This window comes from Homo sapiens, chromosome 19, assembly GCF_000001405.40.
Source record: "Homo sapiens chromosome 19, GRCh38.p14 Primary Assembly".
Lineage (NCBI taxonomy): Eukaryota > Metazoa > Chordata > Mammalia > Primates > Hominidae > Homo > Homo sapiens.
The window spans coordinates 44,047,682-44,070,463 of record NC_000019.10 but is presented as its reverse complement, the minus strand read 5'-3'; the positions used below and the strand labels follow the sequence as shown (position 1 = coordinate 44,070,463).

Sequence of the window (22,782 nt, the reverse complement as noted above, 5' to 3'; positions counted from 1 at the left end):
TGGGAAAAGGACAGTCTCTTCAATAAATGGTGCTAGAAAAACATGATATCCACATATAGAAGAATGAAACTTCAACCCTGTTGTTCACCATATACAAAAATAAAATCGAAATGGATTAAAGACTTAAATCTAAAACCTCGAACTATGAAACTACTACAAGAAAACATTGGGGAAATGTTCCAGGACATTGGTCTGGGCAAAGATTTCTTGAGTAATACCCCAAAAGCATAGACAACCAAAGCAAAAATGGACAAATGGGATCACGTCAAGTTAAGAAGCTTCTGCACAGCAAAGGAAGCAATCAACAAAGTGAAGAGACAACCCACACAATAGGAGAAAATATTTGCAAACTATCCATCTGACAAGGGATTAATAACCAGAATATAAGAAGCTCAAACCAAATAGGAAAAAATTTAATAAATCAATTTTAAAATGAGCAAAATATCTGAATAGACATTTCTCAAAAGAGGGCATACAAATGGCAAACAGGTATATGAAAAGGTGCTCTACATCATAGATCATCAGATAAATACAAATCAAAACTACCATGAGATATCCCACTCCAGTTAAAATAGCTTTTATTCAAAAGACAGGCAATATCAAATGTTGGTGAGGATGTGGAAGGAGTGAAGGAGGGAATCCTCGCACATTGTTGGTGGGAATGTAAATTAGTAGAACCACTGCGGAGAACAGTATGGAGGTTCCTCAAAAAATTAAAACTATATCAAAGTGATATCTGCACCCTCCCCTGCAATGTTTATTGCAGCACTATTCACAATAACCAAAATTTGGAAGCAACCTAAGTATGCATCAACAGGTGAATGGATACAGGAAATGGACATATACACAATGGAGTACTATTCAGCCACAAAAAGAATGAGATTTTGTTATTTGCAACAATATGGATGGAATTGGAAGGACATTACATTCAGTGAAATAAGTCAGGCACAGAAAGACAAACTTCACATCTTCTCACTTATTTGTAGGAGCTAAAAATTAAAACAATTGAATGCATGGAGACAGAGAGCAGAATGTTGGTTACCAGAGGGAGGGAAAGTTAAGGTTGGTGGTGAGGGAAGTGGGGATGGTTAGTGGGTACAAAACTATGCTTAGATAGAATGAATAAGATCTGGTATTTGATAGCACAACAGAGTTACAGTCAATAATAATTTATTGTACATTTGAAATAACTAAACGAGTACGGATTGTTTCTAACACACACAAAAATCTGATAAATGCTTGTGGTAACAGATACCCCATTTACCCTGATATGATTATTATGCATTGTATGCCTGTATCAACATATATACTCCATATGTGTACCCATAAAAATTAGGATTTTTTTTTTTTAGGCTGAGTGCAGTGGCTCATGCCTGTAATCCCAGCACTTTGGGAGGCTGAGGTGGGCAGATTACTTGAGTGCAGTAGTTCGAGACCAGCCTGGGCAACATGGAGGAACCTCATCTCTATAAAAAAATACAAAACTTAACCAGAGGCTGTGGTGCACGCCTGTAGTCTCAGCTGCTCAAGAGGCTGAGGTGGAAGGATGGTTTGAGCCCAGGAGGCCACCACATCCAGCTAGTTGTATTTTTAGTAAAGACAGACTTTCACCATGTTGGCCAGGCTGGTCTTGAACTCCTGGCCTCAAGTAAACTGCCCACCTCAGCCTCCCAAAGTGCTGGAATTACAGGCATGACACTGCACCCAGCCCTTTGCCCATTTTTTTAATTGAGTGGTTTCTGTTATTGAGTTGTAAGAATTCTTTATATAATCTGGATAGTAGAACTCATGCTGTATGGTCTTTTCATGTTCATGACAATGTCCATGTATGCACAGCATTTTTTAAAACCTAGGTCCCATTTAGGTATTTATATTTGCTTTTGCTTATGTTGTTTCATTGAAGAATCCATTCCAAATAAAGTCAGGAAGATTTACTTCTATGTTTTCTTCTAATACTTTTATAGTTTAGCTGTTACATTAGGTCACTGATGAATTTTGAGTTAACTTTTAAGTGTAGGGTGAGGTACAATCTAACTTCATTATGTTGTGTGTCTGTGTATAGGTGTCCCAGCAGTATTGGTCGAAGAGACTATTCTGTCTCCATAAAGTAATCTTGGATCCTTCTTGAAAATCAAGTGGCCTTAGATGTATGGGTTTCTTTATGGACTCTCACTTCTATTCCATTTGTATATATATCTGCCTCCTGGGTTGAAGCGATCCTCCCACTTCAGCCTCTCCAGTAGTCTCCAGCTGGGACTACAGACATACACCAACACAACTGGCTAATTATTGTATTTCTTGTAGAGATGGGGTTTCTGATGTTCACTGAGAAATCTAAAAATAATGCATACAATTATAAAATAGAAAAATACCAGCAAATATTCACTGCTGAAGAAAATAAGAATATAATTGTAACACACTATGTATGTACACTCAAAAAAAAAATTCCAGAAACACAGAGAGATGCTTGTCTAGAAACAAAGAAAGGTATTTATTTAATTTTTTTTTTTGGAGACAGGGTCTCACTCTGTTGCCCTGGCTGGAGTGCAGTAGCACTACCATAGGTCAGTGCAGCCTCAATCTTCCAGACTCAAGCAATGTAAGGATGCAGCAAAAATACAAAGACACATGTGGCTGACATTCTAGTGGTCATCAATTTTGACATGTTCATCATTAGTGTTTTGAAAGTGTGTGAACAAACTCTTATACTAAGACCTGTCTCCTGAATAATAACTAATTGTCAAACTTCTGTTAGAAACCCTGCAGCATTCTCTGCTCTGACAGTCCCACGACCACTGGGGTATGCTGAGCTATGGCTGAAACACTAACTTCAAACTGTCCTCAATCACATGGGGAAGCTTAAAAAGCTGATTTCTTAGAAGTAGTGAGAACAGTGGCTCTAGAGGCAGGGAAGGGTAAGGGATAGGTGGGATGGCCAAAGGTTGGCTAATGGATGCAAAAGTACAGGTAGATAAGAGGAAGAAGTTCTGCTGTTCTGCAGCACTAAAGGTGACTATCATCGACAACAATTTATTTTCAAACTGCTGGAACAATGAATTTTTAATTTTCTCAACACAAAAAAGAGATAATTGAGGTGATAAATGTGCTAATTACACTGATTTGATCATTATACATCATATACATATATTTAAATATCACACTGTACCCCATAAATATGTACAACACTTACGTGTCATTTAAAAATAATGATAAAATTATATCAAGATTCAAGCGCCTCTTGTAGCGCTTCCCACAGTCTTCACATTTGGATGGATTTTCTCCACTGTGGTTTTTTTGTTGGTCTTTACGGTATGACCGGTATACAAGCTTCTTTCCACAATCCTCACATTTGAATGGTTTTTTTCGGCAATGGAGTCTCTTATGATTCAAAATACTTGAGGCCTGTCTAAAGCTCTTCCCACAGTCATCACAGTTATAAGGTCTCTCTCCTGTGTGGGCTCTATGGTGCAAGTCAAGACCTGACTTAGTAATGTAGCTCTTCCCACACTTGTCACATTTGTATGGCTTTTCTCCAGTGTGGACTCGCTGATGGATCAAAAGATAGGAGGACCGTCTGAAGCTCTTCCCACATTCTTTACAATTATATGGTTTCTCTCCTGTGTGGATCGTCTGATGCTTACACAAATCCAGCCTACGAATGAAGCCTTTTCCATATTCCCCAGTGCTGTTTGGTTTCTTTCCTGTGTGGACCACACAATGCCTATTAAGACTTGACCTAAGACGGAAGCTCACACTACATATCTCACATTTGAATGGCTTCTCCCCTGTGTGAATTCTCTGATGTTTCTGAAGCTGGAAATCATGAATGAAGGCCCTCCCACATGCCTCACAATTATAATGTTTCTCTCCCATGTGTAATTTGCAATGAACTGTAAGTGCTGATCTACATCTGAAGCCTCTCCCACATTGTTCACATTTGAAAGGTTTCTCTCCAGTATGGACTCTCTGATGAGTTTGCAGATGTAAACTCTGACTGAATTCCTTACCACACACGTCACACTTAAAGAGTTTCTCTCCCAGGTGGACTCTCTGATGAATATGAAGCGCTGAGATGTAACAGAAGCTTTTTCCACACTCATCACAGGAATGAGACTTCTCTGCTGAGCGTATTTGCTGAGGAAGATCAAAGATGGACATATCACTGAAGGATTGTTTACACTTCCCACAATTGGAAGGTTTCTGTCCTGTGTGCATTATAGATAGTCCTTCCTCAACCTGGGAGTGGGCATCACCCTGTTCAAAGAACTGAGAGCTCTTTATGGTAGAGTCTTGAGGCCTGGTTAAATCACTTGCAATTTCTTCCCAGATCTGCTGGCAGGACCACCCTTCATGTGGTCCTGCTTCTGGAAAAGTCTTCATCTCAGGTTGGATCTTGCCTCCTATCAGAATACAAAATTAAGAGATCAGGACAAGCTATGCCCTGTTCAGTGTTTTTAAGAGTTCACACTTAGGACATGGTATGAAACTTCAACGAATGTTCAGTTTGTGTTTTCCAAGTGCACCCTGGTTTCTGGTTTGCATGAGAGTAATCTAAAACCATACCATGTCACTGGGGACGGTGGCTCACACCCATAATCCCAGCACTTTGGGAGACCAAGGCACTTTGGGAAGCTGAGGCAGGCAGATCACTTGAGGTCAGGAATTCGGGACCAGCCTGACCAACATAGTGAAACCCCGTCTCTATTAAAAATACAAAAATCAGCTAGGTGTGGTGGCACACACCTATAATCCCAGATACTTGGGAGGCTGAGGCAGGAGAATTGCTTGAACCCAGGAGGCGCAGGTTGCAGCAAGCCGAGATCGTGCCACTGCACTCCAGCCTGGGCGACACAGTGAGACTCTGCCTCAAAAAAAAAAAAAAAAAAGAAAAGAAAGAAAAAAACATACCACATTTCAAATAAAAAATCATTGATAGAAATAAAAGGTTTAATAAAAAATTAATATGACACATACATTTAACCTGTTACTGTTTTTAAAATTTCCAACTCAGTCTGAAATTTTACATGATAAATTACTAAACTATTATGTACGTAATGAAATATGAATCAAAAGGAACTCTAAGGGAAAGCAGTAACATAATAAATACTTCGTATATTTGCCTGTATATTATATATCCTTATAAAGAAGTTAACCTTCCTTTCAGTTTAAGATGGCTTAAAAAACATTTTTAAAAATAAGAAAAGGAGTTAACCTAACTAAAAAGAGGTCAGGACTTTGTCCTCAGTATCTGAGAGGTAATCTGTAGAATCTTGAAGGGGCATGCCTGAGGAGAGTCTCTCTGTTTGCTTGGGGGCAAATCTTGGGTAACTCTTGACAGTGAAATAATATAATTTAGGGTTGTGACTAGCCACAGCTTTGGGGGATGGGAAATGGCAGGTGGCATTCCCCATGTCAGAAAAAATAACGATGTGATTTAATGTAGGTCTTTAGGTCACAGGGAACCAGTGGACCAAAAGACTAAATAACCACACAGGAATCAACCAACCAATTATGGCTATGTAATGGAGCCCCAATAATTACTTGGATCCCAGCACTCAGTTGAGTTTCCCTGATTGGTGGTTCCTTGTGTCTAAGTCACATGCTAATTTTGGGTATGTAACATGCCCGACTCTACTGTGAGAATACAATAGGAGATCCACATTTGGTACTTCACTGGACTCTGTCTTATTTGGTTTTTCCCCCTTGGTTAACTATAATATGCATCTTTTGCTTGTAAAAATCAGTAACTGTGAGAATAAATACATCCAGTGAGTTCTGAGGGTCTTTCTAGGAAATTATTGAATGTGAAGGTAGTTTTGAAAAACTGCCGAATTTGCACTTGGAGTGAAGTGAGAGCAGTTCTCTGTAAAATGTCCCATTAAACTTTTTAGTTTAACCCTTCATGATACTAAACATCAAACACCTTAGAATGTTTATATCTACAAATCGAAAGTATTCCTATACAAGAATTTTGCATGACACATATAAAATACTTAATCTTATTTTTCTGTTTTGATATGGATGATAAGTTGGTTATCTGAAAGAGTACAGAGACAGACAACTGCAGTTCTGAGGGGAATCTGAAAGGCTGTCCTTCCAGAGGTCCACAAAGGAGGATGCTCTTCATCAGACAATCAATGATGTGAAGAATCACTTGGAATGAAAAGAAAGCCTATGATGTAGATAAACAGGCCTTTTTAACTGTTTTTATATTCAAGACTACACATCAGTGAGCTGAAATAAAGTTAAAACCTTCAATAGACATTTATAGAAAGGAGCCAGAATGAAAATTATCACAGTGTGGAGACAAGCAGGAAAGGTGTCGTTACATGAAATGTCAGCTAAAGTCACTCACATACACCTACATGCATGAAAACTGTCCAGGTTATACTGAAAGAGGTGTTTCTTATTATGGTTCATGCTCACAAAATGTTCAAAACTTTGTCAGGATATTACCAAGTCCTGAATTAGGTAAATTTTTCTGATGGAGAGTTAAGTTCCAAAGGTTGAAACTTGGAAAATATTAATAGGTAAGTGGGTACCCATCAGTATACCTAGCCAAACTCCACCCTTAAGCCTAGAACCTCAGCCCTAAGTGAAAACAGATGACCCCATTTTTCTGCCCCAATGTTGCTTTTTTTGGCCTGCCTGCCACTATCCTGTGACCATAAAAGATTTCAGCTGGCAGAGCAACACAAGCAGCTGAGTGGCAAGGATACAAGTCGCTGAGCGGTGAGCAGAGAAGCAACTGAGTGTCGGAAAGTATGGATAGATGTGGCTAACTTCAGAAGGTGCTGCTTTGGAGAGGGGCCCAGCCACAAATGGCCTGGCTTCAGGAACATGTTGATCCCCTTCCCAGCCCCTTTCCAGCCTCCTTTTCTGCTGAGAACCACTCACCACTCAATAAAGTCTTCTGCGTTCATCACCTTTCACACAGTTCATGTGACCTGGTTCTTCCTGGATGCTGGACAAGAACCCAGGTGCCAAGAGGGCAGGGGCTGCTACCCTGATGCTCCACTGAGCTGATTGGCACTTGGCCATCCCCAGATGGCAGAGCTGAAACAGCATGGGTTGTAACATGCTTGGACACTGCTGTGGGGCGTGCATAACAGAGCCTGCTCTCGCCAGAGAGGAGCGACCAGCCAATTCCAGCATTCATTTGCTCCGGTTCCTGCACTTGCTCGCTTGCACACTCCCTCCTGCAAGGAATCGACAGCGGTGGGCTGAGTGAAACAAACCCTGAAGTTCCTGCCCGCAAAGATGGTCAAGGGAACAATCCTGTCTAATAGGTACATGGATATATTTAATACACTGTGACTTATAAATAAGAGGTCTTTAAGGAGATGGGAAGGGGTCTCAGGATGTTTCTATTTTGAGTAAGTAATTCCCCAATTCCTTCCAGGTCATAAAGCTTACTAGTTCAAAATATAGCACTAAATCTATAAAAATAAACAAAAAGCCTGTCCTTTAACTTTTTGACAATTAAATTTGCATAATGTAAAGAAAAGGGAAATACGCACATTTTTGAAGAAAGATGACCAGAAACAGAGTCAACATTCAGCTACATAACTTGTGTCCTCTCATCCTCATTCTTCCCCCTCTAAGGGAAGGAAGGAGGAACTGGAGGCAGTGAAGTGTGGGCCGACTTTGGAAAAGGCAAATGGGCTGCAGATGGGTAAATCTCTCAAAGGAAAGCTAGCTGCAAATCCTCATTCAAAAAGACTTTCTTCTCAGATATAAATATGCTCCCTATGGAAAGCTCCAGGGTAGGTCCCAGGGAAGGCATATTACTCAGTGTGGTCATGAAAAAAAAAATGCTATGCTTAGAAGTTTCCACAGGACATGGGTCAACTGCACACACATAAAACCAATCATGTCAAGGAAACCTAAGAAAGTTGAAAATGGATAAGCAGCCATCCACAGAGAAAAAAAAAATCTGTTCTGCAATATATAATCAGCCCTCCATATCCATGGGTTTGGCATCCATGGATTCAACCAACAGGACATAAAAAATATTTAGGGAAAAAAATTCCAGTTCCAAAGAGCAAAACTGGAATTTCTCACACACTGAGTCCTATGTTGAATCCTTGTGAATGAAGTGACAGGTAGGCATTGCATTTGGTATTATAACTGGTCTAGACATGATTTAAAGTATATGGGAGGATGTACATAGGTTATAGGCAAAGACTTCACATATATCAGGAACTTGAACATCTCTGGCTTTCGGTATCCATGTGGGGTCCTGAAATCAAACCCCTATGGCTTCCAAGGGACTAATATATTTCATACACTCTGGTTCATGTATTACTTATTAGCTAGCTCCATGATTCCTACAGACAGTGAAGTCCCCCCATCCATTAATTCATTCATCAGGATACCAAATATTTACAGATCCCTCCATGTACTAGGACTATTCTAGGCACTGAAGATGCAGTCATAAACAAACAGATAAACACCTTGTAGAGATTATATTTGAAAGGGAACAGGTGATCTATCAGTAAACAAAAGCATATGACACATAATACTTGCAGGCCAAGTAAAGATAGGATGGTATTTTCAATAGGGTGCTTGAAGATGACCTCTTCCATGACATTAAAACTCAGCAGACACCTGCATAAACTAACAGAGGGGGTCAGTAAGTTTTGTGGGAACAGAGGACTCCAGTCAGAGAGAAAAGCAAGTGAGGGCCCTGAGGCAGAAGCTTCTGTGGTAGGGAACATAATTGTTCCTGAAAGATGTCCACATCCAGCCTTCAGGACCTATGATTCTGACACATTACACAGCAAGGCAGATTAAGGCTGCAGATGTCATTGAAGTCACTAATCAGCTAAGCAGAAAGTAGGAAAGTCAACTTGGATCATACAGGAGTGATGAATACAACCACAAGGGACCTGAAAGGTGAAAGACATAGGCATAAGAAGAGTGGCAGAGGGAGCATGACTCTGGAAGAATGGTCAAGGATGCAATGTAGCTGCCTTCAAAGATGGAGGAATGGAAACTAGAGCCACGGAGTGTGGACAGTGTCTAGGGACTGGTAAAACAAAGTGAAGCCTTCTCCCCATGAACATCCAGAAAGGAACAAAGCCCTAAGACAGCTTGATTTTTTCCCAGTGAGATGTGTCAGACTTCAGGCCTAAAGAACAGAGAAATAATAAATGCTTCTTATTTAATCATCTAAGTTCGTGGTCATTGGGTACCAGCAACAGGTGATACAGTGTCCTTGGCAGGATGGAGAAATAAGAGGGATGACAAGGTGGCCAGAAAAGATGGAGAATGAGGGAGAGTATGGGAGATGTAGTCAAGAAGCAGTGAAAAATGAAGAGTAGACCACAGGGGTTTCTAGAAGCAACTTAAAGAGGCTTTCATAAAATTAAGAAGACAGAAAGGCTCTTAAGCTGAGGAATGACAATCTGACATCCATGTCCTAAGGATCACTTTAGCTGCCATGAGGAGAACAGATGTCAGAGTGGGAAGGCACGGAGCAGGGCCACTAGCTGGAAGGAGGTTATCATAATCCAGCAAAGATGTTTGGCCATTTAGAAGAAGGTAATGGAGTTGGACGTGCACAGAAGTAAAACAGATGGAAGTCACAAACAAGGACACACAGTTGCGTGCTTCTTACCTGAATTCCCTTCCCTTTGGGTTGCTATATCCATCATCCAAAACTTTTCCTCCCTTAGAAAGTGGAAAGTATCTCGGTGGAATGGTTGATGCCCTGTAAACAGGAAAAGTCACATGCTTAATCCCAACATATTCTAGATAATATCACGGTAACACTTATTGGAAATTTAGGTTCCCACTGCACACTCAAACTTGAACACCCTAGGATACAAAACCACTCCTGGGGCCTGACATTCCCTTATAGAAGATGCCTGTCCTCACCCACTGACAGCAGGTTCCTGAAGTTCTCCAGCATCACATCTCGATACAGCTTCCTCTGGGCAAGGTCCAGCAGCCCCAGCTCCTCCTCAGTGAAGACCACTGCCACATCCTTGAAGGTCACTGCCTCCTACAGCATCAAACATATGCAACCTCAATCTCACTACCAATGGTTACTGGGAGAGAAGGAACATTGAGGAGGCCAAGAGGAAAAATGGAAAGTTTTTCAGGATCTTCAGAGATGTAGGTCAACTTATAGAATTCCCATTCATTCTAGTCTGTGTCCTGACAATGACACACCTTGATTGTCCCAAGCGTCATCAGAAGTCCAACGACAAAGAAGTCTTGTGGTCTTATTTAGTGAACTCATTGAGTTTACTTGTATGTAGCCCCCTAGGAGTCTAAATGCTGCATACTGGGCTACACGTATATAGGTTTCAATGAACCTTGCTAATAGTCCCAGCGACAGTGAGCAATTCAGTCAGTATCTGCCCGACCTGGCAGCCGGTTGATGAGGCTGTGGCTGTGAAACCCCAATCTCAGTATTCCCAATAATTATTTTTCCTTTTCCCCTTTATAATGCACATCCTGTTGGTAATTTGCGGTTCAGATCACCGCGGTAACTGACAAAGGTCCTCCTGACTCTAATCTGGAGGTGATGCTTTCCTGAACATCCCCTGACTTCTATGGGATCCCACAGTGGTGAAGAATGAGACCACGGAATACCATAGGGGTCACCAGGGTCCTTCTGATGGTACTGGGGACACCTGATCCCATTTGGGTGGCTGGCACTAGCAGGCATTTTTTGTATAGGACGTGACGTCCCTTCCTGACTGAACAACTGAGGCAGGAAGGTCTGAGCCAAACAACCAGGGGAATGGATGTCTACAATGGTAGTAGCCTCAGGACAGGGACAGACAGACTGGGTCGCTGCACCACCTCAGCCCACCCACTATCCAACAGCTATTAATCTGCTGTTCCCCCAAGGATATGGCAGCAGAGGCCTGGAAGCACAGCACATTCCTTATCTCAAGCTGCAGTCACCTCATGTCACCTGGCTAAGTGTTCCATCTGCTACCCTGCATTTATTCTATCACCAACCACAGTGACCCTCTCATCCTGACTATGGTAAACCACACCAGCATCCTTCATGCCACAGTGCACACCAACAGCTCCATAACCCTGGCTTGTCACGTCAGAACCTGGCACCTGCCACATGAGAGAGAGCTGGAGGGCCCTGTGGTAACTGGTGTAAGGCAGCAGAATCACACAACCTCAACAAAGCTACAGTGGACTGTGCTTTCTCGCACCATGTTCCTTTGATTACCTGGATGAGAAATGTTCCACATAATGAAAACCAGGACTGGATGAGTGGTATTCCTCTCTGTAAGGGCCGCATGAATGTCATACTGGGGGAACTGACCTTATGCAACTGTGCCAAAAATGAGATGTGGCTGGCAAAAGATAATGTCCCCATTCCCACAAATGGGTCACAGAACACCCAAACAAGGGAATGGGTGCTGTGTGCACCTGAGCCTTATGGCTTTCTCTGTGGTTGGTTTGGAGGGTGACCCAGATACAGGGTGGGCAATGTCATGCCTGGAAAGCTGGCAGACTGTTAGATCCCAAACATTAGGCATGCTGGGGGTGCCCCTAGATGTCACCCTGGAAGCGAGATGCACCACTGGGCAAGAAGGCTAAAGCTGTGCCCCAGGCTGACTGGGGACCTGCCTGGAGGTGCAGCTAGCTCCAGATTTATGTCCTACACCTACAAGTGAATTCCCATGAAAAATGATGAGACACCTGCCATAGGCAATGGCCGATAGATACTGTTTATTCCACGGCCACTGCCTTGGGAGCCCAGCAACATCCCTTCACTCCCTCAGGAAGGTTCAAAAAACACAAGTGCTCTGTGCTTTTAGCCCTACTGGGAGGAGTGGGTCTGCAACTGCCAACACCTCCGGCCTTCTCTGGATACATAGCTATTGTAAAAACTCAATGAGAGGCAACCCAGAAGCAGGTCCACTGGCTTCAGACACTGGGGCCACCTGAATGATTCTTCTTTGGTATCTTCAGCAGCTTCTTATTTTGATAACTGGGACCTGGGCAGGATTACTACTTCAGGAAGGTCTGGCTGTGCTGCTTGTGGTCATGCTCCTCTGGGGTCCACGGAATGTATTCCAGCTATAATTCCATGAAGTTGGCAGAGATTGTGTCAGTCAAGGTGTTACACTGATCTAACAAGATCAGGGGAGGCCAGGGGAGGTCGATGGACATATGAAATGGACCAGTTTGCTAAGAGGGATATCTGGGTCAGGGGATGGACTGCAGGACAGTTGGGGTGCAGACCCCACCCAGCTCTCTCCCCTTTATTGCTTGTAGTTCTCAAGAATAACTGTAGATTATTCTAAGAATGCAATATTATGGGGAGGAACTGCCTTTGACAGTCTGGGCTTTGTTCCTCTCTCACCTGGAAGGAAGATGACCTTCAAGTTTTTCTCCATGAGTCATGGCACCCTGAAGTATATAAATGGGGGCAGGTTACCTTCTGGGGTGCCTCAGCTCTGGTGCAAGTGGGGCACATACAGTCAAGATTCCATCTGCTCCAGGTAGCTTTCTTGAGCCCTGGATGGCCAGCTCATACTGGACCCTAGGCTTCTGGGCTCGCCTGCTGCCAATCTGTAGTAATAAATCTGCTTCATGCAATCTGTTGCGTGTGAATGTGTTCTGTCCCACAGGACTCACACGAGTTGGTAATCAGTGCACAGTGAACCTGCTCCATGGTACCCTGAGACAGTTATGCAGTGTGTCTTCTGTACTCGCAAGGCACAAACCACATATGCTTATTGCAGCATTTAGTGTCCTGATCAGAAGCCAGAATGCCTCAGTGCACATTCTGAGAGTCTGCCCATTTCTAACCATGTGACCTCAGACATGTTTTCCTACAAGGCTTGTTCCCTCTCTGAATAATAGTTCTTACATGACAAGAGTTTTTTCAAGAATTAAGAAAAGAAATATACGGTATTTTGAAAAGTCTACGGCACAGACTGTTTAATGAACATTAGCTGGTATTACTTATTACTGTTATTACCATTATCTATTTCAGGGTTCCATAGTATTCCAGGGAACTGATGATCTATTTTTAGCTACACTAAATAATAAATATTTAATTTCACATATTTTCCATTATCAGTCCGGCCAAGATGATATGGTAAGTAGTAAGATGTAAGAACATCTGACTCTGTCTCATTTAAAATAATTTCATATGAAAATTAAAATGTGAAAAATAAGCACATTTAATATTATCATTATATAATTGCATACTTTCTTCTCACTTTTTTCCCTACCTCTCTAATCATTCAACAGAATACAAGTACCCTAATTCTCCTTATGATAGCCAAGAGCAGTTTATAAATATTCCCATGGTTTTGTAATCTGATTAGGAAGAACAATTCATTCTATCATTCTCACTTATTATTATAAATGAGTATCACCACTTTTCAAGATTATTGGCGATCTCTATTTCTTCTTTTACAATTGCCTTTTAGTATTCTTTGTTCCAATCTGTTTGAACTTTTTTCTTTATCCTTTTAGAAGATTCTTATTCTGGATTTATTCTTCCTTAACTATCCAAGGGGTAAATATTTTTGCCCCAGGTTGTCATTTTTTCTGGTAACAATGTGTGAGGCGGGCCGGGCACGGTGGTTCACGCTTGTAATCCCAGCACTTTGGGAGGCCGAGGCAGGCAGATCATGAGGTCAGATCGAGACCATCCTGGCTAACACGGTGAAACCCCGTCTCTACTAAAAACACACAAAAAAATTAGCCGGGTGTGTGGTGGCGGGCGCCTGTAGTCCCAGCTACTCGGGAGGCTGAGGCAGGAGAACGGCGTAAACCCGGGAGGCAGAGCTGGCAGTGAGCTGAGATCGCAACACTGTACTCCAGCCTAGGCAACAGAGAGAGACTCTATCTCAAAAAAAAAAAAAAAAAAAAAAAAAATGGTGAGGCATTTTATGCCATAAGGAGGAATTTAGGGATTTTTTTTTTTTTTTTGAGACAGAGTCTCACTCTGTCACTCAGGCTGGAGTGCAGTGGCGCGATCTCGGCTCACTGCAAGCTCCGCCTCCTGGGTTCACGCCATTCTCCTGCCTCAGCCTGCCGAGTAGCTGGGACTACAGGCGCCCGCACCACGCCCGGCTAATTTTTTTTTTTTTTTTTTTTTTGTATTTTTAGTACAGACGGGGTTTCACCATATTAGCCAGGATGGTCTCTATCTCCTGACCTAGTGATCCACCTGCCTCAGCCTCCGAAAAAGTGCTGGGATTACAGGTGTGAGCCACCGCGCCCAGCCAAAGAAAAAATGTGTGAGGTATCTTGTGCCATAAGGAGGAATTTGGAGATAAGAACAGCTGTGGTAATCACTGTCCTTGGGTACTTGGAACAATGAGTACACCTGAGTAGGTGCCAGGTCTGGAAAAGAAGAGGTCACACCAACGCAGGACAGGGAGAAGCAGCGCCACCTATGGATGTCATCACTCAAGGGAGCACTCCAGACATCCACACAACAGGTCACCAGACCCTCAGTGGAGAATTTTTCTTTCTTCTCGTCTCTCTCTTTCACTTGAGCAGAATGGCTAACATTCCTGTTCCTTGATTGCCTCTGATTTTGAGCAGGTTTCTCATATTTCATGAGTTTAGGAGAAGAGATCAGGAACCTCCTCATTCTGCTGCTTTGAGAAGTAAATGAGTGACAGTACACAAGTGACTGGCCAATCTTCAGTATTACTAGACTTTTTTTGTTTTGTTTTCTTTTTTGAGACAGAGTTTCACTCTTGTTGCCCAGGCTGGAGTGCAATGGCCCAATCTCAGCTCACTGCAACCTCCGCCTCCCGGTTTGAAGTGATTCTCGTGCTTCAGCCTACCGAGTAGCTGGGATTACAGGCATGTACCACCATGCCCAGTTAATTTTGTATTTTTAGTAGAGATGGGGTTTCTCCATGTTGGTCAGACTGGTCTCGAACTCCTGACCTCAGGTGATCCGCCTGCCTCAGCCTCCCAAAGTGCTGGGATTACCAGTGTGAGCCACTGCACCCAGCCCAGTATTACTAGCCATTTTAAATGAAGGCTTTCTGGCTGGGTGCGGTGGCTCACGCCTATAATCCCAGCACTTTGGGAGGCCGAGGCGGGCAGATCACTTGAGGTCAGAAGTTCGATACAAGCCTGGCCAACATGATGAAACCCCATCTCCACTAATACTACAAAAATTAGCCAGGTGACAAGAGATCCTCAAAGTCCTGCTGTTCTCCTTGAGTCTTCCCAGGGCAGAGAAAAACACACAACAATCTGAGTAGTGAGATGGAATTTTAACAGTAAGAGAGGCAAGTCCTACTTACCTTGGACATGGTCATTTTTCCTCCTACTTTAGGGAATTTGCAGAGTCCTGAATGACACAGTTCCAGGGAAAGCAGAATTGTGCCTGGAAAGTGCCATGAAGACAGAAAAAGAGACATGAAAGGGTGGCCAGGGATGTCACCCACCAACAAGGACTCATATTGTCAATTAGCACATGAACGCTCACAGCAGCATTATTCATACTAACCCCAAATTGCACACAACCAAAAAGCTCTCCTACAGGTAAAGGGACAGAAAAATTGTGGCATATTCATACAATGGAATCTTATTTGGAAATGTAAAGGAATGAAATACTGACCCATGCAACAACACCCGTGAACCTTGAAAACATTACAGTAAATGAAAGAAGCAAGTCACAAAAACCCACAGACCCTACGATTCCATTTATATGAAATGTCTGGAATAGACAAGTAGAATAGAATAGAAAGTAGGTTAGCAGTTGTTCTAAATTTGAGTTGAGAATGAGGTTCAAAGTAAATGGGCATGAGGAGTCCAACTGGGGGATGAAAGTGATCTCGGCTGAATTATGATGATGATTACCCCACTTCAAAGTTCCTAAAGACCACTGAACTGACTTGTATACCTGAAATGGGTGAATGCTATAACTAAAATAAACCTAGAGTTTAAAAAAAAAACTGTTAATGCACATATCATTAGAATCAATAAGACTGGATTCTGAGTCCACATTGATAGAATATTTATAGTTGAACAAATCAATGAACCAATAGAGGAGAAATGGAAGCTCTTTTTTACAAGAAAATGCCCACTAATAATGTATTTTCCCATAAGAAACTTCATAATTTAAAAAAAAGTAACATAAGAGTGGAAAAATCTGAAAGACATCTTCTTGGCCAGTGACAAAGCTGAGATCACCAATGAAGGGACAAACGAACATCACTTGGACCTTGTTATGTTACAATGAAAAGGGCATCCTATTGCACCATTGTACCCCAGCCTGGGTGACAAGAGCAAAACTGTCTCAAACAAAAAAAAAAAAAAAGAAAAGGGCATCTTAACACTCCTGTGGAATCCCCACCAACAATGTATAATCTAAACCTAAATGTGAAATATATCTGTAGGGGAAAGAAAAAGAGATCAGGCTGTTACTGTGTCTACGTAGAAAAAGGAAGACATGAGAAACTCCATTTTGATCTGTACTAAGAAAAATTCTTCTGCCTTGAGATGCTGTTAATCTGTAACCCTAGCCCCAACCCTGTGCTCGCAGAAACATGTGTTGTATTGACTCAAGGTTTAATGGATTTAGGGCTGTGCAGGATGTGCTTTGGTAAAAATGTGTTTGCAGGCAGTATGCTTGGTAAAAGTCATTGCCATTCTCCAGTCTCGATTAACCAGGGACACCATACACTGCGGAAGGCCACAGGGACCTCTGCCCAAGAAAGCCTGGGCATTGTCCAAGGTTTCCACCCACTGAGACAGCCTGAGAGATGGCCTCGTGGGAAGGGAAAGACCTGACCGTCCCCCAGCCCGACACCCATAAGGGGTCTGTGCTGAGGAGGATTAGTGAAAGAGGAAGGCCTCTTTGCAGTTGAGGTAAGAGGAAGGCATCTGTCTCCTGCTCATCCCTGGGAATGGAATGTCTCGGTATAAAACCCAATCGTACATTCTATTTACTGAGATAGGAGAAAACCGCCTTATGGCTGGAGGTGAGACATACTGGCGGCAATACTGGTCTTTACTGCACTGAGATGTTTGTGTAAAGTCACACATAAATCTGGCCTATGTGCACATCCAGGCACAACTCCTTTCCTTAAACTTATTTATGACAGAGTCCTTTGCTCACATGTTTTCCGGCTGACCCTCTCCCCACCATTACCCTATAGTCCTTCCACATCCCCCTCACCAAGATAGTAGAGATAGTGATCAATAAATACTGAGGGAACTCAGAGACCAGTGCCGGTACAGGTCCTCATTTGCTGAGCGCCGGTCCCCTGGGCCCACTTTTCTTCCTCTATACTTTGTGTCTGTGTCTTATTTCTTTTCTCAGTTTCTCATTTCCACCTTGTGAGAAACACCCACAGGTGTGGAGAGGCAGGCCCCCTTCAATATCAAACTCCAAATGAACAACTATGGAAATGTGACAGCTAAAGACAACGCATAAACTGGACTTTGAATAGGTGAAGGGTGGGGCAGAGGACAGTCATAAGGACTTTAAATGAAAAATTTAACAAATTCGTATATGGAACTGCAGATTAGATAACATGATGCTAGGTAATATGCTATCCAACACTATCTAGTAAGTACACTACAAATACTAGTATTCTTTTAACACATCTATCTGACATGTAATCGGTAACAGTATTATTTAACATAATATCCAATATTATCTACCATGTTATGTGAAACCCTATAACCAGCCCTTCCTAAATGCCTCTTACCAAGACACCCCACAATTACCGTGGTATGTGGGCTTCCTTGCTGCAGAAAGCTACCAATCAGCTGTCTCTGGTTACAGGTATGTTCCTGGTGGTATTTGGTTGATGGTCATCAACAAAGCAAACAGGAAAAATGTAAACACTTGGCAAATTTGGGTAAAGGGTATATGAGAATTTCTTATACTGTTTTTGCAATTTTTCTATAGCTTTGAAATGATATCAAACGTTTTAAAATATCAGGCAACAAGAGACCACTCACCAAGTGACAGGGACAACTTTAAGGCTTTCATTTGTATTATCTCTTTCAATTCGCAAAACAATTCTATTAGGATGACCCTATAAGCACCATTTTAAAGAACAGCAATGGGAAGTACAGAGACATTAACATTCCACATCACACTGCGAGAAAGAGTGTACACACTGCATACGTAGGGAGGCGGACTGAGCGAGGTCAAAGTCCTGGAAACCCTCAGAGCAGGGCACACAAGGCCACCCCAATCCCACCCCCCGGGAGGCGAGCAAAGCCCCCCGACGCCAGAAGGCTCCGCTGACGGGAACAATAAACACCCTCCCCGCCCTCGCACCTCTAAACCTCTGCTCTTCGCCAAGGCTTCTTTTCCCCTGAGACGATCATCGATCATCGGGTGGTTGCGAGCCTCAAGCAAAGGGGGTTCGTTCAAAATGTCCTGCAAGACGCAGAAATGGCTCAAACTACCCCGGTCATTAAAGCAGGAACCTCAGACTAGGAGACCGGAAGTGTCCTCTCTGCGCCAGAGTGTCTGGACTCCACTCCCCAGAATTCCCCGGACCCGCCCCCCTGAGCCAAAGGGCCCGGGACTCCGCAGAGTGTCTGGACTATCGTTCCCAGAATTCAACGGTTCACCTGCCAGAGCCAAAATACCCAGTGTTCCACGAGCCAGTGGACTACACTTCCCGTAAAATGGACTACTCTTCCCAGAATTCTCCGGAAACGCCTACCTGAGCTGAAGTATCAGGAATCCCGCAAGGTGTCTGGACTGCAGAGCCTCAGATGCAAAAGGAAAATGTCCATCACCTCACCCTTTAGGCTCAAGTGTTGCGACTACATGGTGCTCCTCGATTACACTTCCCGCAACACCCACGGGGAACGAATTTCATAGCCCCAGGTTCCTGGTGGGGAATGCAGACTGTTACCCTGACAGTTGTCCTTCCCAGAGTCCTCGAGCGAAAATATTGAATAGAAAGAATTTATGAAGTCTAAATGTCTCCCATGATTGACAGGAGTGTTCTTGGACAGGGAACAAGCGAGGAGATACAATATTCAAGGAGCTAGATAGAGTGACTGTTGAGCCGTCAGATGGCTGAAAGGAGGCTCAGGGTTTAAAGCAAGGATATCCAACTCCAGGGCCACAGACCTGTACCGGTCCACTGACTGTTAGGAACCGGGCGGCACAGCAGGAAGTGAGCGGCAGGTGAGGGAGCATTATGGCCTGAGCTCCACCTCCTGTGAGATCAGCCCAGCATTACATTCTCATAGGAGCGCGGATCCTATTGTGAACTGTGCGTGCGAAGGATCTAGGTCAGGCGCTCCTTATGAGAATCTAATGGCTGAGGTGGAACAGTTTCATCCCGAAACCATTCCCCAGTCCGTGGAAAAATTGTCTTCCACAAAACCGGTCCATGGTGCTAAAACGGTTGGGGACCACTGGTTTAAAGAATGAGCCAGGTAGAATGGGTTGGGAGGGGCAATGAGAAGCCAGGAAAGCATCAGCCCCTGTAACTGAAAAGTAGATCAGTGGCTTCCCGTTTGCAACGTCCAGTTAACAAGAGGGAGATCTGGTATAAAGAAAGTGATTTATTCTAGAGCTAGCGTAGGGGAAGTAGCACAGGTGTTGTCTTTAAGTGCACGGCTTGGCTTTTAGAGCAGAAAGCAGGCACTTTTAAAAGGTAGGGGAGGAAGAGGGAAGGGGTCTGTGTGCTGGCTTGGTGCCTTATCTATTAGGCAGTTGAGCTGGCTTTTTCATGGGCAGAAATAAGTTGTAACCAGAAGGGAGAGAGTAGCAGGCACGCTTTCAACTGTTGTCTCTTCAGGCAACCTCCTGGTGAGTGAGAGTTCAGAGGCCAGCATGCTTTAGTTTGTAAATTGACTGTTAATTCTGGAGGAGAGTTCTGGCTTGGAGCACACAGTTAGATGAACTTTCCCTGTAGGAAGTGTCTGGTGAAGGGGAGGTAAAAGTCTATATTTGCATTTTTAAAGGGCTACATAGGAAGTGGGGAACTAAGGGAATGAGAAAAGAGAGAGAAATAAATAAGCTGTCTCTTAGAAAAATGGTGGTTCTCAGTTACAGCCCTAGTCCAGATGCTGTGGTACCACTGGTTTGACAGGAAAAACAAAATTCCAGCCACCAATGGAGAAGCTGTGTCCTCATGGAAAAGCTACATTTAACATTCTCATGGTAGTAATATTTCTACTTTAGATGTAGAAACGCTAAATTTCAGAGAAGTTAGTGAATTGCTAAGTATCTTAAAGCAAGTATAACTGTTGAAGAGCTTGGCATTGGTATCAATCTGACACCCAATGTCTGATTCAATGCCATAAAACTGGAGAAGATTCTATAGGTGACGGAGCATGATTTATTATTAAGAGTTTCTTCCTTTCCATTTCTTGGTTAAAATATCTTCATTATAGGAAACAATTTGAAAACTGGCATATGTTAGTTGAAAGACATTAATAATAGTATAAAGCTAAATCAGGAAACAATTCATCTAAAATTCTCTTTTGAAGATAAACCATATTTTTTGTCCTCCCAAATAAACATACATTGACCTGTCGACCTATATTTTTCTTTTTAAAAAGAGTCTAATGTCCTGTATCCATTTTCCTAAAGTAAAAAAAAATAAAAAAAAATTAAAAAAAGACTGTTCACAATTTTTTTTTGATACAGAGTCTTGCTGTTTTGCCCAGGCCAGAGTGCAGTGCGCGATCTCGGCTCACTGCAACCTCTGCTTCCTGGGTTCAAGTGATTCTCCTGCCTCAGCCTCCCAAGTAGCTGGGACTACAGGCATGTGCCACTACGCCTGGCTAATTTTTTGTATTTTTAGTAGAGATGGGGGTTTCACTGTGTTAGCCAGGATGGTCTCAATCTCCTGACCTCGTGATCTGCCCACCTTGGCCTCCCAAAGTGCTGGGATTACAGGTGTGAGCCACTGCACCTGGCTGACGTTTCACAGTTTGGTTTGGACAAAAATTAAGGTGACTGAGCAACCACATAGTGCCAAACAAATTTTCAATGCCCCCTTGAAAATTGAGTGATGGCTATTCCTATACCAATTACAGCTGTATCCTTACTCTACTCTGCATTCACAAAAGATAAAATTTATTGATACTCTCAGTGGTAGTGTATGCAAGGAGCTGAGCCTGAGATGTTAGGCGGCACCTGGCATCAAAGGTCCCTGCTGTTGCCCACGTCCCTGTGCTCTGGGCCTCTGATGGGAGGAGCAGCCTCCAAGATCTGTGAAATACTTCTGGGGTCATTCTTCCATTGTCTTGGACAATAGGTCCTGGTTTGAGTCAACATGGTCAATCCATACTAATCTCATAAATCAGTTGTTCAGCCACACCCTTGTTTTCTCCAGGACAGGGTTTTGCATGTTTTCCAAAGTAGATAAGCTGCAAATTTTAAAAGTATTTAGTTCTCTTTACCTTTTAATTAGTAATTCCGGCTTTCAGTCACTTCTCACTTTCTACATTTTACTATAGGTAGTCAAGATTATTCAAGATGCAACTTCAACACATTGTTAAGAAATAGTGTCAGCTAAATATTCAATTACATTGCTCACAAGTTCTACCTACCAAAAAACACTAGGACCTGAATATAATTCAGCCAAATTATTTACCCCTTTATAACAAGAACCCCGCTTTCTTCAGTTTCCAGTAACATGTTCCACATTTCTGACTGAGGTCTCATCATAATGGCCTTTACTGTCCATATTTCTATCAACATTCTGATCGTGACCACATAGGTTTACTCTAAGAAGACTGATGCTTTCTCTAGCTCTCATTCTGTCCTTCTGAGCCCTAACCAGAATTGTCTTTAACAGTCCAATCATGACAATGTAGGTTTTTCCTAGCATGCATTTCAGAAGTCTCCCAGCCTCTACCCATTATACAGTCACAAAGATACTTCCACATTTTTAGATATTTGTTACAACAGCAATCCCACTTCTCAATACCAATATTCTTAGTCACAAAAAACCATGGGCTAGCTGGCTTATAAGCAACAGAAACTTATTCCTCACAATCAAGGCACTGGGAGATTTTATGTCTGAAGTGGGGCTGCTTTCTGGTTCATAGGTGGCACCTTGTTGCAATGTCCTCAAATGGTGGAAGTGATGAACAAGTTTCCTCAGGTCTCTTTTACAAAGGGACTCATCCCATTAATAAGAGTTCTGCCCTCATAATCTAATCACCCTCCAAAGGCTCTACCTCCTAAAACCATCTTATTGGGGGTAAGGAATTAAACATGTGAATTTTAGTGGTCCACAAACATTTAAACCATTGCATCAGGTAGTTTCATAATTACTAAGTCATATTATTGTAAAAATAACTCAGCTAACTAGAGTTCAACATCATTACAGTTCTTTTTGTCTTTATGCTGAGGACATATACTCAAAATACTGTACTGTGTTTAATATGGTACTTAAATGACTTCTTGCTTTCATCTTTAGTCTGTGTTATTGATTTGAATGCATTTAGGTTAGTCTGTTATTCTTTGATTTTAAGTTTCCTGGTTTATCTCCATTCTTGATTTTATATTATTATGTCAATCAATAACATATTCCCATAAGTCTATACTATACAAAATGTTATTCTCAGAAAAGTGCCACTCACTCCCCTCCTTTCCACCGCACCACTTCCACAGTGTTGACTCCTAATACCCATGTGTAACCAATTTCATTATTTTCTGGTTTATCATTACCAGTTTTTACAGAAAACATGTAGATTTCTTATTTTCGCTGTTTACTTAAACAAAAGGTAGCATTCATCTAAACCTTCTATGGTCACTCAACAATATATCCTGGAAAATCACTTCATATAGAGTACATGCTTTTCACAACT

At 42.5% G+C, this 22,782-nt stretch overlaps 1 protein-coding gene across 4 annotated transcripts, besides 4 other annotated features; it reads right to left on the bottom strand.

The window, feature by feature from the left end:
- On the bottom strand, positions 2,465 to 18,833 carry ZNF223 (zinc finger protein 223). 4 transcript variants are annotated; one of them, XM_017027258.2, is made up of 5 exons: positions 18,663 to 18,833; positions 15,273 to 15,355; positions 9,883 to 10,009; positions 9,623 to 9,715; positions 2,465 to 4,400 (listed from the first exon to the last, which is right to left on the bottom strand). In XM_017027258.2, exons 2-5 carry the CDS (start codon positions 15,285 to 15,287, stop codon positions 3,187 to 3,189), a joined length of 1,449 nt encoding a protein of 482 aa, XP_016882747.1. In that variant the 5' UTR covers positions 15,288 to 15,355; positions 18,663 to 18,833; the 3' UTR covers positions 2,465 to 3,186. The 4 variants fall into 4 exon arrangements, with proteins under 4 accessions (XP_016882747.1, XP_016882748.1, NP_037493.3 ...); XM_017027259.2 differs by lacking the exon at positions 18,663 to 18,833 and adding an exon at positions 17,707 to 18,428; NM_013361.6 differs by lacking the exon at positions 18,663 to 18,833 and adding an exon at positions 18,269 to 18,428.
- Positions 18,202 to 18,441: an enhancer, noted in NCBI's record as "active region_14751". NCBI's record gives its function as "activates an Ori minimal core promoter by ATAC-STARR-seq in GM12878 lymphoblastoid cells {active_cell/tissue: GM12878}" and the evidence as "EXISTENCE:reporter gene assay evidence [ECO:0000049][PMID:35858748]".
- Positions 18,202 to 18,762: a biological region, named in NCBI's record as "H3K27ac hESC enhancer GRCh37_chr19:44555855-44556356".
- Positions 18,261 to 18,762: an enhancer, noted in NCBI's record as "H3K27ac hESC enhancer chr19:44555855-44556356 (GRCh37/hg19 assembly coordinates)". NCBI's record gives its function as "activates a minimal SCP1, AML or CMV promoter by ChIP-STARR-seq in primed H9 embryonic stem cells {active_cell/tissue: H9 hESC(primed)}" and the evidence as "EXISTENCE:reporter gene assay evidence [ECO:0000049][PMID:30033119]".
- Positions 18,482 to 18,541: a silencer, noted in NCBI's record as "silent region_10733". NCBI's record gives its function as "represses an Ori minimal core promoter by ATAC-STARR-seq in GM12878 lymphoblastoid cells {active_cell/tissue: GM12878}" and the evidence as "EXISTENCE:reporter gene assay evidence [ECO:0000049][PMID:35858748]".

What these genes read in the sequence shown, in the direction of transcription:
- ZNF223 (XM_017027258.2), bottom strand. An exon ending in CAGGAACCTGCTGTCAGTGG is followed by an intron (nt 9,716 to 9,882) that starts GTGAGGACAGGC and finishes TCCTGTTTACAG; the next exon opens with GGCATCAACCATTCCACCGA. An exon ending in CCAAAGGGAAGGGAATTCAG is followed by an intron (nt 4,401 to 9,622) that starts GTAAGAAGCACG and finishes GTATTCTGATAG; the next exon opens with GAGGCAAGATCCAACCTGAG.